General features: G+C 39.1%; 1 protein-coding gene across 4 annotated transcripts in view; it reads left to right on the top strand.

The window, feature by feature from the left end:
- CDH2 (cadherin 2) overlaps positions 1 to 19,945 on the top strand; it is a 244,252-nt gene that overhangs the window by 188,850 nt on the left and 35,457 nt on the right. For all 4 annotated transcript variants that reach the window (XM_017025514.3, NM_001792.5, XM_011525788.1 and 1 more), the window contains 3 exons: positions 2,520 to 2,753; positions 3,048 to 3,281; positions 5,198 to 5,337. In XM_017025514.3, coding sequence (XP_016881003.1) covers positions 2,520 to 2,753; positions 3,048 to 3,281; positions 5,198 to 5,337 — 608 coding nt within the window. The remainder of the gene's footprint in view (positions 1 to 2,519; positions 2,754 to 3,047; positions 3,282 to 5,197; positions 5,338 to 19,945) is intronic.

Here is a 19,945-nt window from a genome sequence, read left to right as displayed (position 1 = left end):
TGTCACATGTTGATGCCTTAAGTCCATCCTCAGTGGCCCTAGACACTGGGTTTTTTCAGTGGCTCTTTTTATATGTCTTCTAGTCACTCTGTTGCCTTTCATATGTGCATCTCTATCAGTCTTCCTTTTTATAATTCTCTGCCTCTGTCTGCCATGGGCTAGGAAACTTAATTTTGTGCATAAATTGAGATAAGTGAGTAGTGAGCTTCAGGGTATGGGTTTTAGAATACATATGTAGCACCTTTTTTTCCTTTCTGAGTCTCTGCTGGTTTCTCATTGGTTAAGATTAATAGATAAGGACTTTTTTCAGATATGTAATATAAAGGGGACTTTTGTAAACCTGATGAGGGGCTTATTTTGCTTCGTTAGCTCTCAGTACGATGTGTGTTTCAGACTTCAAGCTCTGGAGTTCTACAGGACCCCCAGGTGCAGACTCCGGCTTTCCCACTTTGAATCTGTGGGATTGCCATGAGGTTTTAAATATATCTGTTTCCTTTTTTTGTTAAATAGATACGTATCAGCACCTAACTCAGTGTTTTAACTAAAATGTAATGACTTCTACATATATATGAAGCATTTGAAACAGTGGCTGACACGAACTAACCACTCAACTAAGTATTCCTATTGCGTATTAATAGTTTCAAAACTGAACCACAACTATATTTTAAAATATTTTCAGTATTAAACTATGAATATGAATGTTGGTACTTAATAAAAAATAGCAGGCTTCAATTTGGTGGTTGAAGTTGGTGTTTGCAATTTTCAAATTGTAAAATATTTTGCATTACTAAAATAAGACATATCAATACTTTAAGAATAATGTCAGTGAACCTTTCTAAATCTGTATACTAAGATTTAATGAGATTACTATCTGTAGAAAATCTATGTAGTGACCAACCAAAGAAATATTTCTTATCCTTTTTAATATGGGACCTCTTGTTTAAATATTTAGTGTTGGAACTTTGTAGGAATAGCTTTTGCCATTGTACATCAAAGCATGTCATTAGTACCTGTTTTATGCTTTTTTGCCATAAACCGTGGCTTTCTTCTACAGTGGTACTGAAAGTAATGCATCTTGAATCATTATGTTAAGATCTAAAGAGCCATAAAATTATATGTATGTATGTATGTATGTATATTGGTTGTGAGTTACAACCAGATTTCTCATTCACCAGGAAGGATTGTTTTCTAATTGAAAGGGCTTTTGATAAGAGAGAGAAGTGACCTGTTATAATGTATGTAGCTGTGATGCTTTGCAATTGCACTTTCCTTTAAGCCACAAGGCTAGACTTGGAGCCCCAGCTCTGTTCGTTAATGATTAGTCAAGCTCTTATACTCTGTATGCCTTAGTTTCATTATTGATAAATTGTTTCACTACCTACATATTCTATATAGTTGTTATAAAAGTATAGTAATATTAAATGTGATAGTAAATTTCGAAGTCCCTCAAACTGTTGAGTATCATAGTGGTCATGGTGGTGTTGGAATATTGTAACAGCCACTATACCCTTCCAGTTCAACTCTCCCTGCTCTTAGAACCATCATATTCCTCATAGAAGTTGGTAAACATTCCTCCTTATTCCCTCCCCAGGATTGTGTATGTATGTGCACCTTCCTAGTTGCATGACCTTTGGCAGGTCGCTTAAGTCTCTGGTCTTCAGTGTACAGCATTATTTATAAAATATTCATAAACATATTATATATTTGTGTGTGTGTGAATATTTACAATGTAGCAGAAGCAAATCACCAGATTAAATTATCACACAAAGTGGTGGAGACAGCATTTTATTATAGTGGAATGAGAATGGGTTTGAGGTCAGGCCGACCAATATTTAGTAGCAACTCCACCACTTACAAGAGTGTGTGGCCATGAGCAGTTTACAGACTCAGGTTCATCTGTGTAAACCTGTGTCATAGGATTACAATCAAAGAGTGTACATAGAGCAGCCTAATATGATCTCAAGCAGGTAGTTGGTTGGTTAGTAAATATCATTTCTCTTCTGCATGATGTTCCTTCCTGAGTTGAGGTCTGTGGTTCTGTATCACTTGTCTGTAGACTGTTGCGTTAAGTCAAAGCTGTGTTAGAGCGTTAAAAGCATTCTTATGTTCTTTCATGCATATGTCTTGGTTCTCCATAAAAAGAATAGTGTCAACAGGATCACGAGCCCTGTGTTTGCATCTCCAACACTCCTCACAGTGCCTGGAGGAGCATGGTCTACGCAAGCCCTGAATAATGGGCAGGAGGGGCAGGGAGGGTACGGGATTCCATCACAGGGGCATTCTTCGTCACCTTGCTCAGCTCCTGCAGAGCAGCAGTGGCAGCTCAGGGTCATTCTAGCAGGGAAGCAAGAAGGGGCTTTGTTCTGGAAACGGTCTGCCCAGATGCCATAGCAACTATGTTTTTCCAAGGTTACACAGTTAAAAGGGCCAGAAGGTTAGAAGCTTTGAGAATTTCACCATAATTGAGGCTCATTGGAGAGAACTGTTCAGCATCATTTGTGATTTTTCTCTCTTTTCAGGAATTCCTCCTATGAGTGGAACAGGAACGCTGCAGATCTATTTACTTGATATTAATGACAATGCCCCTCAAGTGTTACCTCAAGAGGCAGAGACTTGCGAAACTCCAGACCCCAATTCAATTAATATTACAGCACTTGATTATGACATTGATCCAAATGCTGGACCATTTGCTTTTGATCTTCCTTTATCTCCAGTGACTATTAAGAGAAATTGGACCATCACTCGGCTTAATGGTAAGAACAGGTTAATTATTTGAATATATGTGCAGTTGAGAGATTTTGAAGCCTGGCATGAAAAGTTAATTTTATGTGCTTCATAATCTTCTCATTATACATATTTTAAAAGCTACTTAAAGTTTAAGTAAGATATTAAAGGCCTTTACGGCCAAAAAAGTATTTAGAATGCAGCATAGTTGTAATCCGCTTTATGTGTACTATTAGGTAGTAAATACATCCTGAACAATGCTATGTGTTTTTTTATCGCTTTAAGTATTACCTATCAAACTATGTTTTTCCTTTTTCATATAGGTGATTTTGCTCAGCTTAATTTAAAGATAAAATTTCTTGAAGCTGGTATCTATGAAGTTCCCATCATAATCACAGATTCGGGTAATCCTCCCAAATCAAATATTTCCATCCTGCGTGTGAAGGTTTGCCAGTGTGACTCCAACGGGGACTGCACAGATGTGGACAGGATTGTGGGTGCGGGGCTTGGCACCGGTGCCATCATTGCCATCCTGCTCTGCATCATCATCCTGCTTAGTGAGTACTTTTATTGTCTTTTAGATTTCAGTTCTCTTGGCTTCTAGGATGTTCAGCAAAGTCATGTGTTGCTATTGCCTGGCAAAGTAGTCTAACAACCCTTTGACCTTTCAGCATTTCCTCGCCAATCATATATGGGTCGACCAAGTCCACTTTAGAATGAAAAAACCCCAGAGCATTGTTTCAAGCACTTGATGTTTGCAACAAGCTGCCTCAGCATGCCTCTTCCTTGCCCTCTTACCCTTTCTCATGCTTATTGCTTAGGGAGCTGTAGTAAACGCTTTTCATAGAAAAACATTAAACAATCCCAAGTTTGAGCACTTTTCTTATGATTTGAGTATGAATTTATGGCACGTAGTTGATGATTTAGGAAAATAAGTATATTGCTTTCCTTCACCTTCCTTCATATAAAGCACAGTCAGCAACGTGCTCCAGTCATGCGAGGATCAAGGTATTTGTTTCTGAAGGGCTGTGTAGAAGAGTGAGAGATTGTACTTCACATACAGGACATTTGATAATAGAAATGATTACACAGCTCAGTAGATTGTCTGTCTTTAGAGTAAGTGTAGATTAAGGAATTGCTTCTTTTTAAGGTACTTTGCAATCTTTGGTTCAATGGAATGCAAAAAATTAACCACTGGAAAGTACTTTAGGAACCACTTCTAAGCATGCAGGTTAAAAGAATAAATTGCCTGGGCCCTGTGTTTTATTGTGAATAGCAGCAGGACTTAGTTTATTGTGCGATCATGCTATGCACCAATCACTTTCTTGAAAATGTTGGCCATTTCTTTTATGTTTTCTCCATTTACAAGTGTTCTGGTAATTTAGAATTCTGTCCCTTTATTCTAAGCAATTACTATAGAAGTCTAAGCATTTTTTACTTCCTGTGTGGAGACTACTTTGGCTATAATTTGAAACCTGCATGCTATACTAATAATCCACTTGCTAGATTTAGCCCTGGAACAATAGCAAATGAGATCATGTTATCTGGCTTTAAAAGGAGGATATTTACTTTTATGGCCAATAATAAAAATGTGCTCCAATAGGAGTCATTAAATCTTTTGCTTCAGGATGTAAACTGATACCCCCAGATTTTAGATAGAATTTGTTCCTAGATGTGCACCTAGGGATATGTTTCCATTTCAACTGAAATGTGGCATAGATGCCAATGTTATCAAGAAAGACTTAGGCATGATGGATTATGGCAATGAAGAAGTAACTGACATTTTGAAGGAAACTGAATTGGTGCTGATTTTAACATCAACTCACTGGAAAATTTATGGTTCTAGACCTGGCGCAAAGTGTAAAACATGAAAGTCTAATATTATTTCAGTGTTCAAAGGAATCCCCTAGCTTTCTTAGCTGAAACATGCACCGGCCTCTGGGAGTCAAAACCTCAAGATCTGATTCCTGACTTAGTTCCAATTTACTACCCAGGTCATCTGGGCAAGCTTTGTCCTCCTGGATAAGTGTTTTCTTCTGTGAATTTCGGAGTGTAATGATGACTGACCAACCGAAATAACACAGCAAGTAACACCTTACTGCTGTTTTGTGTCTCTAGAATTTACAAGGCCCTATGAAGGGCAACTATCCTCTAGCAAGCCAAAGGGAAGATAGAAAAAGTTACTGTCCCCATATATGGATGGTAAAACTGAGAACAAGGATGATCACCTCTCAAGTGAGTTTGCAGAGGGCACCAGGGATGGGAGCCCAGGCCTTCATACTCTAAACCCAGTGCTTTAGCTTGCTTTGTCTTGTCTCTCTTAATGTGAGGCCAGAAATAGATAGTAGAGTGAAAGACGCATTTCAGGCCTTCAGTTCATATAAGTATAAATTATTAGTACTGAATACTGTGACTAAATAGGCCAGGCTTTAAAAATGACAATATTATGTATTTTTACTATTTTTCTACCTAGTCCTTGTGCTGATGTTTGTGGTATGGATGAAACGCCGGGATAAAGAACGCCAGGCCAAACAACTTTTAATTGATCCAGAAGATGATGTAAGAGATAATATTTTAAAATATGATGAAGAAGGTGGAGGAGAAGAAGACCAGGTGAGCAGTGCTTTAAATCTTTAAAAATAAATTTTATGATCGTATAAATTTAATAGTGGGAAGTGTTAATACATCAGTAAGAAAATGGTATCAGGTTTCCCTCCTGTTATCAGTCATTTGGTAAATTGTTTCCTATGTGTGTTGAATATTTCTCAAATTTTTTTTCAAAGTACCAAATGTCATTGTATTTATTTTGTAAAAAAAAAAAAAACACCTTGTTTCAAAGGCTTTAAACCCAATTCTAGTTATATCTGTGTAATGATAAATATACTTTACAGTTTCTCTTCACTGGATATCCAAAATATATTAAAAGCATCTTCTACTTTGGGATCTGGATAATTATATGTATGGTAGAAAAACCACTAAGACTATTTATTCCCCAAGTATTTACCAAGGAAATCCAATATTTCAGGCACTATTTTAATCCCTGAAGATACCTCCATGGGCAGAGTTAACAAATATCTATCCTTAAGAGTCTTACATTCTTGTGAAATATTTGAAGTTAGAGTTAACATCTAGTTCATCTTTGTATTTATAGTGTCTGTCATAGTTCCTGGCTTGAGGTGGTTATTCAATAGATGTCAGAATCTCCTTCTGGCCATTAACTAATGTGAACCTATATCACTATGTGCGTATGGGATTGCATACCTCTTCAAGGATGAGAATGACCATAAATGGAAAACAAAAATCTCCATCTGCTCTGAAGCAACATTTTCAATGTTATCATAGCAAACATCTGTAAGCTCTATACTACATGTCAGGCATTCTGTTAAGTACATTAGGTGCTGCTCTCTCTTAAATCCTTGAAACTTGTGATACTAGTACTGTGAACATCTCCACTTTTGTGGTATAAAACCAAGTTAAGGATGGTTAGATTCTACAAAATCATGCACTTAGGAAGTAATAGATGCAGAGTTTGCATTCAGGTTTCTCTGAATTCACAGGCTAAACTATTCTGATACAGTTTCTCTTGAAATTATATGGGCGATATTAATGTAATCCATGAGAAATCACTATGACAGGTAATTCTTAGATACATTTGATAGTTATCTGATTTCTACTGGCTAATGCAAATGTCGGGGATAACAGTCTGAAAGAGAACCCAGGATTCTTTGGTTTTGCATCAGTATCAGTAAGTTAAAATGTACTCTCTTAAGTATATATGCAGATATTATTGATAAGCCTGCTAATTGAATAAAAGCAAATTTTCATGAACATATTTTTCCCTTGCTTCACTCCTTTGAGGAAATGATATATCACTTTTCATTTTACAAAGCACATTTACATCCATTATTGTATAAACTTTGTGGCAGCCCCTTAGAGTTTTCCATTTTACATTTGAAAAAAGTTGCATGATTTACTTTCAGAGTTTGTAACCCACAGAGCCAGGACTCAAGGCCTCATGTTCTGATTCCAGGTTCCATGCTTGGTTTACAATACCCCAGCTCTCTCATTTAGAAGAGATGCATATTTAAAGTACGTTGAAAACTTGACTCATGTGTAAAGCTGTTTTGAATACTGCCTAATTAAAGTGGCTCTATAAATATACCTTAGGGTGTTTTGCTTATAAATGTCTCTGAATATTAAAATTCATGTTTGGCTTAATTCTTTAATTAATCTATCCTTTCACTTTCCTAGGCTATTTTCAAGATCAACAAACATATTGATCACATTCTCTCATAAATCGTCTACTTCCAGTATTTTATTTTTTGTGTAATTTTGCATACTTTACAAAGGCATAAACCTAAAACCCAGCTCAATTAGGCTTCAGTAAAAGTAGTAATAACTGTAAGACCACCGGTAGTAACTGGATGCTGCCCAAAATTGGAGGCTCAGAGGCAAGAACCAAGAAAATTCTCGTATAGGGACTGGACCGTGGGGTATTTAATGTCACCTAATCTGAATCTTCCTCTCCTTTCCCCACCAGTCCAATAAATTGTTTAATATGGCCGTATTGTTATAGTTATGTTAGGAAAGACTTATTTTATTTGTTGACTTTATCCACTTAGATTGATGCTTGAGATTAAGTGGTAAAACTCATCTATTGTAAGATTTGTTAAAATAATATCATAAATCTACAACTTCCTCTTTACCTAATCTCTGAAGCTTGTTGGCTTTTGGCTTTTGGGGTTTTTTTTTTTTTTTTTTTGACCCCAGCCAAACTCTTGGACATAAATGTGCTTCATATCTACTTCCCCACGAGTCCAAAGATTTTTCTGGAATTCTATCTGTATCGTACTCTGGGGCTAATTTTTTTAATTTGGTACCAATCTTCCTGTGGTATCTTTTTGTAGCCTCTGGGTTCTTTGATAGCATATTAGTCTAGACCAAGAGCTTCCGTGATTTCTCCATGCAGTTCTCATTCTAGACAGTTGTGACAAAATTATATAATGGGGTTTTTATGCATCTAATTTTTAACCTCATAACAGAATAAAATATGTGATGTAGGAGTGCCACACCAAGGCTCTTTCTCCTCTATCTCTAAACTGGTTCATGAAATCCATTCACTTATCCTCATTTCCAAGGCCTCTACCTTCACTTACCTCCATCCTACAACAGATTCCTAAACGGTGTCTTGTCTGTGCTTTAACATCCCAATCCACCTTTTGGAACTTCTTCCTTAGCATGACAGCTCTTCAGCGCTGCACCCAACCTTTGGTTTACCCCCTCATACACTAGGTAAAGGCCCATGAGAAAGCGTCAGTGGTGGGTGCAGACTCCCTGAGGATGTGAATTCATCCAGCCTGTTGACTCACGGTGACTTAAGTTTCCTTCAAAGTTTGGGTGATTTATCCTTACGGTTTTTAAAGGCAGAGTTCTGTCTTCCTCCTCTCACTCTTCCTTCAGGGATAAAAGCAGCTGTGGATCTTCTCCTAGAAAGGGCTTGTCTGATTCTATATTTTCATTCAGTTAGGCTTTATTTTGTTCTCTGCTATCTTATGGTTTCAAAAAGCTTTGATTGGGAACTTAGCTGGTTTGTTCTTGGCATTAGAGTTTGAATAATGGTCTCATGACTTTATCCCAACCAGAAGCAGATGCTTTCTGTAGGGTTAAGAGTGTAACTACAACTCACACCAACAAAGAACATTTCCAGCACCCTAGAAGCTTCCCTTATACCCACAAACAGGTGGTTTGCCCTCTGTCCAAAGTAACCACTCTTTTTTATTTCTGTCACCATAGATTAGCACCCCCTGTTTTTGACTTTTATGTAAATGGATATCAAACAGTCGGCACTCTGTGCATCTGGCTTCTATTACTCAACATTGTACCTGTGAGATTCATGTGTAGAAGTCGTTCATTTTTGTCACTGCTGAATAGTATTCTGTTGGAAGAATTAACTACATTTTATGTATCCATCCTACTTCACTTGGGCACTTGAGGTTTTCCAGTTGGGTTATTATGAATAAAACTGTTATGAACATTTGTGTGCATATGTTCTGGTGCATTTTCTGGTGTGTGCACAGGAGTTGAATGTCTGAGCCACAGAGTGTGCATATGTGCAGCTCGACTACAGTCCTGTACGTTTTCCAAAGTGATCATACAATTGACACCTCCCTTCCCCACTGTGGTACATGAAAGTCCCAATTGCTCCACATCCTCTTCCTCAATTAGCACTTGGATTTTTTTCAGTCTTTTAAAATTTAGGCCACATTGATGATGTATGTCTCATTATTTAATTGGGATATTCCTGCCTACGGTTTTACCCTTTTGATATGTTATTTCATGACGTTTGTTTAGCCTGTTTGTCTACTTTTCTATTGGGTTGCCTGTCTTTTTCTTACTGACTTGTAGGAGGTCCTTATAGATTATAGATATGTGTTCCTTGTTAGATAAATATATTGTAAATATATTCTCTCATTCTATAGCTTTTTTATTCTCTTAATGGGTCTTTAGGTGAACAGAAGTTTTTTTATTATTTTTTATGTTGTCCAGTTTATCATTTTTTTTCCATTATGGTTAGTGCTCATGTTTCTATTTAAAAATTTTGAGTGGGGCACAGTGGTTCATACCTATAATCCCAGGACTTTGGGAGGCTAAAGCAGGAGGATTACTTAAGCCTAGGAGTTCAAGACCAGCCTGGGCAACATAGTAAGACCACATCTCTTAAAAAAAAAAATTGTTAATTAACCAGGCATGGTAGCTCATACCTATAGTCCCAGCTACTTGGGAGGCTGAGATAGGAGGACTGCTTGAGCCTGGGAGGTCGAGGCCGCAGTGAGCTGTGATTATGTCACTGCACTCCAGAGTCTGGGCCACAGAGACCCTGACTCAGAAAAATAATAATAATGAGAAAATAAAATGTCTACCCCAAGGTAATGAATCCCCCCCCCCAACTACATATATTATTTTCTTGAAGCTATATTGTTTTACCTATCATATTAAGTCCATAATTTATCTGTAATGGATTTTTCATTTGGTTAAGACATGGGTCAGGACTTCTTCATGTTCTTTATGAATATCCAGCACCCCTTGGTAAAAAGATGATGTTTACCACTGCATTGCGGTGCTACATTGCCATAAAGCAGGTGATATGTGTGTGCGGCTTTGTGGGTTAGCTTCCTGCTGTTCTATGCGGTACTACCTGTTCTGTCTGTTCTTGAGTCAATCCCATGTTGTTTCGATTACTGTAGCTTTCTAGTGTCTTGAAACCAATAGGGTAAGTTTTCTGACTATATTCTGCAAAGTTTGTTTGTTTTTAGATTTTTGGTGGATTCTGTTTTACTTTTTCTTTAAGAAAAATAAACCATTTATCTTATTTTTTAAGTGTACTTACTACAAGTACTCCACTTTCTAAATAGATGTTCTTACTTTAAATCTTAAAATCATGGTCAGTTCCTGAGAAGTTCAGCGGTATGAAATACACTGGGTTCTATTTTCCATAATTTACATGTGGCTGCCTGTTAGAAATTCTGTTTCTTTGTAGTGTGAAGTAAGAATTTTTGGCAATGGAATCTAATTCATAATTTTTATGAAGATACTCTCTTTCTACAATAATAGGCCTTGGAAATGGGACTGGTGCCATGCTGTGTTCTGGACAAGTTTTCATTGATCTTTATTATCCATTGCTTTTTTTTTATGGAGCCTGTGTGTACCTTCAGGTGTGAATGGCTGGTGATGACGAGGTGCTGGTCTGATCTGCTTCATGTCTTAGCTGGACAGTCTTAAAGAATAATTTTTGCTGTTTCTGAATAGTATTCCATTGTAAACTGAACCACATGTTGTTTATTGAGCTTTAAAAGTTGTGTAGATCTCAGAGATCAGTTTAAGTATTTGCTGGATGCCAGGTAATGACTGTGTTTACAGCAAGGCAGGTCTGTACAGCAGTCTCCAGAAAATTAGCCTGAAACTGGCTCAGCTGAGATTCCTATTCTTCCTGCCAAGACAAAGTATCCATACCAGCAGCTAACTGATTACAAAGAAAACAAAGCAAAGTAGTCTTTTACAAGGGTAGTTCTTATCTTACCTGTCTTTGATTGGAGTCTCTGTCTGTATAAGTTCTATGTCAAGGTACAGGTTGCTAATTTCTTTAACAAAATAACTAAGAGGTGCCTAAGGGGGTAAAATGGGAAAAAGAAAAAAAAAGAAACAACTACTCCGATATCTTTTTTCTTACCTTGTGTATAACAGAGATTTATTAGAGTTCGTGGATCTTCTGCTGTGGCTTAGATTGTCAGGAGGCTAGGTTGGGCCCATATTTGAAACTAGCATTAGATGTGTTCTGTTGAGAGTGTTATCTCCACACAGGGCTGTTAGCGGTTGAACAGACACTTTTAGTATATCTAGTCTCTTTTCAGAGAGTGAAGTTCTTTCTTTATCTCTTTCACTGCTAACAGCAGGGCTTTTTTTGCTGGTTAGTAAGGCATGTTTAATTACCCTCATTAGTAAATGTCCTTCAGTGCCCTTTTGGCCAATGGGGTTGGTTGCAGATACGGTATCGCTTTCAATGATCTTTGTATCAAGTTCTTTCCATATCAGCGTCACTAATAAAATCAGGGTGAATGTACAATATAGCCGATATCTCACTTTCCCTGGGACCATCCCCTTTCAGCCCCAGGATAGGAAAGAGAAACTGTTAGCCTTCTGCTTTTTAAGGCTTAGACTTAATTACAAACATTTATCAAGTGTGTATAAATGGTGCTCAGTCAGTGGTGCTCACTTTAAACCTCTCCCTACATCACCTGACACAATGCAGTTTCATTCTCTATACTAATAGCAAAAGCTGTTATTTGGTGTACCCTGTGTTAGGCACTGTACTAAGTACATTATTTCGTTATTGAAATATACATTAGTTCATTTGTCCTTCACAATAGTCCAGTAAAATAGGCGTATATTGTTAGAAAGTAGCAAAGTGAAGATTAAATCTTTGTCTGCCTCAGTGCAAAGAAAATGGTGTCTATCATATCTTATACCATCCTTTACAAAGCTCATGTTCAACCAGGCAACTAAAATACTGCCTTTTGGAATGCCATGCGAATTTGTCAGAAGGCTCTCCCATCCTTGAAGCAGAACTGGAACATCCAGCAGCTTCCTGTGCTTTCAGAATTTGACTTGAAACATTAACCATCCCAAGGCCTTGGGCTGCTGTGAGAACTCATAATCTATGAAAAGAGGTACTGCTATTCATCTTGGCTGGGGTCACAAATGATAATTGATAGAAACTGGAACCCTTCAGACCATGAGTTCTGGTTCAAGGAGCAATGCCAGCCTCAAGGTGATAAAGGCAGGAGGCAGAGAAGCTCTAGGCAGACAGGGACGGGTCCTTGTCAAAGCCCCACCTTAAAGCTGAAACGCCTGGAACCTATGGCCCAAAGTGAGTACTTCTGTCCCTGTTTGCCTGCTCTCTCATGATTGGTTCCTTCTGAATAATGTCTTTTTACCAATCAAATGTTACCTTTTCCAAAACTACCTATGGCCTGCCCTGCCCCCGATTCTGTCCCTATAAGGACCCCAGACTCAGCCGGTAGAAGAGAGAAGCAGCTGGATGTCAGAGAGAGGCATTTGATTGCAGAGGAGAGGGGCAGAGAGGTGACTTGACTTCAGGGGAGAGCGACCTGCCCTTCCCATCCCCTTTCCAGCTCCCCTCTCTGCTGAGAGCTGCTTTCATTGCTCAATAAAATTCTCCACATTCACCATCCTTCAGTTTGTCCACATGACCTCATTCTTCTTGGGTACCAGACAAGAATTCAAGACCCACCAAGTGTGGGTACCCAAAAGGCTGTCACACGGACCTCTTGCCCACACTGGCAGGGGGCAGCCACCCCATGCAACAAGGCAAATGGCCCACTGAGCTGATAACACACTGCTGTCTGCGGACAGCAGAGCTATGAGAGCATTGTAACACGCCCTCTGGGGCCTTGGGGTGGCAGGCACCCCACCTAGACGCCACCACAGGGCCTGCACGGAGTTTGCTTCTGCCAGTGCCAAAGTGGCCGGCTGGTTCCCGTGCTCACTCACCTGTGCGCTCCCTCCCACAAGGAATTGGCTCAGCAGGCTGAGTAAATGGGGCACCCCTGTCACCAGTCCCACAAAGAGGTCAAGAAAATGTCCTGCATCAAAGGGATGAGGACTTTTCTGTCAGGCAGAGTTAACTTGTGAGAGACTGAAGCTGATGCTGGGCAAAGGAGGTTGTGACAGTAAGGCTACGTGGCTGTGGAAAGATTCCACATCAGTTTTCTCTTGATCACTCTTGGGTTCTTGGCCCTTGTGATCCACCATGTCTCAGATCTTTCTTCTCATACTCAAGTCTGTTGCTGACTGGAGCATGACAATTGGCTCCGTTTTCTTCTCAGTCTCTCCAGGTAAGGCCCAGCACCCCTTAGGCTCAGAGAACACTATATAGGTTTCCCATTCCAGGACTGAGAACACTCTGCCTGAATTCTGAAATGTGTTTTTTTAAGTTTTAAAGACTGACTGACACCTGGTTCATTGGGGTGTTTTGTTTTTTGTTTTTTGTTTGATCTGAGATGGTTCTGAAATCACAAAGAAAGTAGTTCAGTCTGTTCAGGCTGCTATAACAAAATTTCATAAACTGTGTAGCTTATAAACAAGACAAATTTATTTCTTACAGTTCTAGATCCTGGGAAGTCCAAGATCAAGGCACCAGCAGATCAGTGTCTGGTGAGAGCTTACTCTGTGCTTCATATAAGGCGCCTTTCTTGCTGTGTCCTCATACAATGAAAGGAGCAAACAACCTCCCTTGGTATTCTTTATAACGGCACTAATCCCACTCATGAAGTGTCCACCCTCATGACCTAATCACTTCGTAAAGGCCCCACTTCTTAATACTATTGTATTGGGAATTCAGGTTCAGCATGTGACTTTAGTGGGGGACACAGACATTCAGAGCGTAGCAATACCTCATACCAACCCCTGTGTTTTGGGGGACATGTCTGGAAGATGGATTCTGTGTCACTTTAAAGTAGCATTTTATAAACTGAGAATCTGTTCACACGTAGTCCATGACTATGTTTTCTTGAGCTTGCAGAATTAAAAATGGAAAATATTCACATAAAATTCTTGTTTCCTAATCCTTTCAAAAAGCAGAAAGATCTGGAAACATGGCCTGCATTCTGACATGACAGTTGTTGGGAACTAAACAGAGATTTTCCCTCTTTAAGCAGGACAAGCATGTTCCAGTATTTTTATTCTTTGTACCAGACCAGCTTTCTTGATATATGTTATCAGCCCATTCTTCATAGATACTTATTTTGCAGGCCCTGATTGAATTATACAGTAATAAGTAAGTCTTAGATTAACAAAAACAGGTTTGTACAAAGAGGAGGTGATTTTCTAAGACAGTTTTATATTGCTTAAATGAGAGAGAAAAAAAGAGAGAGAGAAGTAGCCACACAAATATGTTTAGCCAAAGGTATTAGTTAAAATAGGCTAGCCGCTGTAACAGACTCTAAAATTTCAGTGACCTAAGTCTAGTTGAAAATGTATTTATTGGTTTCTTAACATTAACTGGGTTTCAGGTCGTGGGCATTTGGGATGGAGAAAGGAGGTCTGCTTCTCTCTACACAGTCATTCAGGGACCTAAGCGCCAAAGACTCTCCCATCTTTCACATGTGACTTCTAGGATCACCCTACCCTTAAATCCATGCAATCACTACATGACAACAGGGCATGGAGGATGATTTTTGGGAGATTTTTATGGGCCAGGCCTAGAAGTGGCACACATCCCTTCCACTCCTAATTCCCTGGGAAATAACCTTCAGTGTGTCTAGAAAGAAAAATAAATGGTTTAAGTGATCAGCTGGAAGTCTTAACAAACCCAGGTTAGGTACTTGAATTTAGAGAATGTTTTTGGAGATTGTATGAGAACCCTTTTTACCTCACCCACAATGGGTTGCACTGTTCTGACCAATCCAGGTATGTCATAGGGAAGTAGGTCCCTTGGCACAGAGGAGATACAGTAGGCACAGCTCATGAAATACAACACTGTATAGGCATGAGAAACGGAATGTAAGGTTCACCAAAAACAAGGGAAAGCAGCTTTCCTTTATCTGAAGAAAGCTTCTAGTACTTTCTGTGATACTAAAGTCTTCTAGATCAGGATCCAGCACTGGCACATGTAAGAAATCACATACAATTTCATGATAAAGGGAATTATAATAGAAGTGCCTCTTAGTGGCCTAGGTTTTCAGAACCCAGAAGACCTAGATATAATTACCATATGAGTGTCCACTGACTTTTTTTCAATGAAGTTGATTTTTTTATGTGAGTTGTGGAAATTAGTTTCAATATTGATGTAGATGAGATCCCTAGAGTCTTGGTGACACAGAAAGCACATTCCGCCAAGTCCAAGTGCCTGAGATGGGGTAAGAACCCACAGTTCCTATGACCTGGGGTTTGGCTTTTAGGATTGCGAACTTCAAGGGTTGACAATTCAGTTTGTTCTCTCATTACCCCTCCACTTTGCATTTTGAACTGCCTATACTTGCACACCTGTACCACACTCTCACACTTTTTTAACGTAGTCCATTTCTTCACCTAATTCTGTTTAGCCATCAAGATTCATCTCAAGACATCTTGTCTTAGAGTCCCAGGCTAAATCAAGTTTCTCTGCTCTGTGCCCCCACAGCATTCCCAGTCTACCTCTATTTTGAGCTTTTATGTCCACTCTTGGTCCTGACCTTAAGCTCTGTAAGGCAAGGACTTGTCATACTTATTTTTTATTTCAGTATCTAGGACAGTTGGCACCTGGCAACACTCATAGAATGTTAGTTGAACTGCTGTGGGCCCTCTTCCTGAATTTCTAACTTAGTTTGCAACTCTATCTGTGACTTAATTGAACCAGTATACTCCCGATAACTTCACTGTCATCCTTAGAGATCTCTGATGTCTTCAGGAAATGATGATAGCATTCATAAATGCTAGCATTGTTGCATATTTGTTCTGTGTCAGGCACTGTGCTACTCTCTTAGTTTGCATGTCCTTTATAATGTTCCTGATGACTCCATGAAATGGACACTGCTGTTAGTCCGTTTTCAAACCTAGGTCTATGTGACTCGAGAGTTCAGGCTCTCATGCACTGTGATAGAGGTCATATGATAGATATTTTATTTAGTCTCACTGGTCTGTAGCAGGCAGGAGGTGTTACTGGCTTGGACCAGTATGGCTAGGCTCATAGCCACAGCTTATTAGATGACCACTGGTAATATGACTTTAGAAGACATAAGGGTAATCAATTGATTAAGCTTGCAGAATTGGACCCATTTTGACATTAACAAAGTTAAAATCTGGAGAAGCAATCTAAGCAGCCAAGTTATTAAAAAAAAATCTGAGTATACAGTCTGGAGCTAAATCTAAAGTCCAGGCAAGATGCCTAGACAGAAGGATGGGGGCACAGGTACAAGAAAGCCACTTGAGAACAAACCCGCCACTTTTCTGAGTCAAGAAATCTCTTCTTGAGCCAGGGGATCTCTGTGGACTTCTGCCAGTCTCGGGAACCAGACCTAATGTGGGCAATCAAGCCCAACTATCGGACTTTAAGTGTTAGAGAATGAAGCTGTATAATCTAACTATGGTATATTTGATTGCTTGAAATAATCGCTTTATAAATTTATTCTGCCTTTTAAGCAAACTTAACAGATGGCTGAATCTGGACATAACTGTGGAGACCACTTTCAACACTTTTATTGTTGGCTAAAGCATGCTTTGTTAATGATGTTCCCAAGTTATTCATTCATTTTTACCAACCTGCAAACACTGTTATATATTAGTTATTGAAAGATTCTGATTTCACAAAAGGAAAGTTTCACTAGGGATTGGGTTAGCACATTGTCATTCCCTTTTTGCATGCTATTCTCAAAACACTCGTGGCCAGGGTACACATTAGTGGGCTGTAAAAGCATGTGTTCTGAACTGGTCAGTGCCCATCCCCTCCCAGTTATTAAATACTTTCACTGTGCATATGATTTGCATATGACTTTTCCTTCATCATTCCTGTCACTTCATGCAAGTGACACAGTATTTTAGATAAGTCATCTTAATATTTATTCTTCCTGGCTGATTACAAATTTTCTATATTTCGTTTTAGGGAAATGGAAAGTTATTGATATTCTACTAATAACAATGATAAAGATTTGAATACCAAGTATGTATTAGTACTATGCAAAAAAAAAAAAAAAAAGAACTGACATGCAAAAATGCTATAGGCCAGTGTTCTAGCAGCTACCAAATCCACCAGCTACCTTTTTTTTTTTGAGATGGAGTCTCGCTCTGTTGCCCAGGCTGGAGTGCAGTGGTGTGATCTTGGCTTACTGCAACCTCTGCCTCCCAGGTTCAAGCAATTCTCCTGCCTCAGCCTCTTGAGTAGCTGGGATTACAGGCGTGTGCCACGACGCCCAGCTAATTTTTGTATTTTTAGTAGAGACGGGGTTTCACCATGTTGGTCAGGCTGGTCTGGAACTCCTGACCTCGTGATCCATCCTCCTTGGCCTCCCAAAGTACTGGGATTACAGGCGTAAGCCACCGCGCCCAGCCTACACATAGACTTCTGCCTCAGCCTCCCACCTATTTTTATAAATAAAGTTTACTGGAGCATGGCCATGCACCATGCCCATTGATGCCCATTTTTTATGTGTTATCTATGACTACTTTTATGCTGCAGCAACAGCAGAGTTGAAACATCGTGACATGGACTATCTGGCCCCCAAATCCAAACATATTAATATTTACTATCTAGACCCTACAGGAAAAGATTGTTGAACATTGTTATAGACGGATTTAATCAATGGAATTCTCATTGGCTTTTTTGTCTAAAAGTTGAATACTATTAAGGTTAGCATGGGAAGTTTATGTAATCTGCTCAAGGTCACACAGTTAAAATATGATGGAGCCAGGATTTGAATCAAGGATTTTAAAAAATCAAATACTTGGCTCCCTTTGCAGTATTTACTTTATGTGTACATTTATCCTAAAACAAATAATATTCTTTAGGACATTTCAAAATGATGTGTCATAAACTAGGGAAGGATTTTGATGCTCTGCCACCATATTCTCAACCAAATTACCTATTTTTATGTTTTCTCTGAGATGAATTAATAGGTCATGCTGAGATAGAGTGGCTTTGATCTTTATCCAAGTGGTCACATTTTTTGTTTTTTGCAAGAAGAAATTGGAACTCGAGGTGAAAACATGGAACCCAACATGCATTTAGATGGCTATACTTTTGTCTCCCAAGACAGACAGTGGCTTGGAAGGGTTAAGAAATGTGTTTCTCTTTATAGGAATGTAACTGGATTGCATCAAAACAACGGGAAATTATTTCATATTTCCAGTGCTCCATCTTTCTGAAGCCCTGTTCCTCTGCATATCTGCATCCTCCCTTCTTCCAACAGTACTTCCTTCATAGCTTCTGACATCTTCACTTTCCGTATTTTTTGTAACTTTAAATATTATATTTTCATTATTTTAATTTTTTTATTATTATTTTGTTGAGACAGAATTTCACTGTTGTCGCCCAGGCTGGAGTGCAATGGCACGATCTTGGCTCACTGCAACCTCTGCCTCCCAGGTTCTAGCGATTCTCCTGCCTCAGCCTCCTGAGTAGCTGGGACTACAGGCACCTAATTTTTGTATTTTTAGTAGAGACAGGGTTGCACCATGTTGGCCAGCTGGTCTCCAACTCCTGACCTCAAGTGATCCACCCGCCTCGGCCTCCCAAAGAGCTGGGATTACAGGCGTGAGCCGCCGCACCCGGCCAAGCTGAGCTGCCGTACCTGGCCAAACTTTCATTATTTTAAAATATGTCCTTTTAAAAGACATTAGAGTAAAGGCTCAGTGTTGTTAGTAACCGAGTCTGTTTCCCAAGAGAGACCCCTCTTATGAAAGAATTTGTGGAATCAAGTCTAATTGAAGTGTGTATATGCCACATTTTCCTAAAAGAATAAGCCATAATTTTGTAACGGGAAATAAGTTGTGATAGGATTTCAACAGTCACAGTTTCTAAAATAGAAGTGTAATTTTACATCAAAGAGTGAACCTATAGCTCATTCATAATTCTGAAAACAGGTAGCATGTTAAAGGAAACTGACATGTCAGCATTAACAGTAAGCCACAGGGGCAGAAACAATGACTGTTCCCTTTTAGTGGGGACTCAGTCCTCTCCCTTGTGGGAAGTAGAAAACTGGCTACCAGTAAGATTAAAATGTATAGTATATGAAGAGAGAGAACAGAGATCCTTCATCTGTATACTGAAAGTCCCCAAGTTATTTTATTTGTATTAGGTTTATGGTTCAATCCAGAAAAAGCTTTTAGCAAATTTTTTGTTGGTGGGGGGGCTGTGATAATCCATGGAATCTACTTAGTTTTCCACATCGTTTCACCTGTGAAGATAGTTACCGTCATAACGATATTTCACTGGGGAAGAAAATCAGGTCGTAATGTAATTTACATAAAGCTTGCACGGGTATATTTGACTTACTTGTCAGCAGTTGTTTGGTAATATGTTGACACCTTATCACTATTTTATTCAATTATTTTAATGCCGGGAGCTATAGAGGGTGAGATAATAGTGTTCTTCTCTCCCACCTTCCATTTCTTTTTGTGTCTGAAGTTTCTTGCCTGTGCCGCAGTCAGCTTTTTTCCAGATATTTTTTTTCCTTCAGAATTTTGTCCATTTACTTCCATGTGAGTATTTTAATTTCTCTCAGTCACTCAGTCTTGAAACATTTTTAATGTTTACCTTATCTATATGGGGATTTTAAAGTCATTTGCCTTTGCAGCTATAAAAGGAAAATGTTCCACTTGAACCAGCCCATGCCTAAGAGATAGCAAAACTGTTGTGTTTCATCACTGGTTCTAACCAGTGGAGGCTGATAAAGGCCCGTGAACTTTAAGTGTCCACCCCTCTCCTCCATGTGTCAGACTCTTATTTGACCTAAGTGAGGATTCCTTCCTGCCTAAACAACAGTTAGTCTTATTTTAACCAACTGTGCACAGACCGAAGAACTCATTTGTTCTATGCAGAGTGCTAGTGCCCAGTGACTGATTAGTGGAACCATCTTAAACTCCCCCCTCCAGCACTTCAAACCCCAGATGTTTTCCCCCTCAGTAAACTCTTTCGTGCATTTCTTCACTGGCAAGTGACAAAAAGATGCAG

Source organism: Homo sapiens, chromosome 18 (assembly GCF_000001405.40).
Source record: "Homo sapiens chromosome 18, GRCh38.p14 Primary Assembly".
Taxonomy (NCBI): Eukaryota; Metazoa; Chordata; class Mammalia; order Primates; family Hominidae; genus Homo; species Homo sapiens.
The sequence above is the reverse complement of the archived record's forward strand: the minus strand, read 5'-3'. Positions and strand labels throughout refer to the sequence as shown.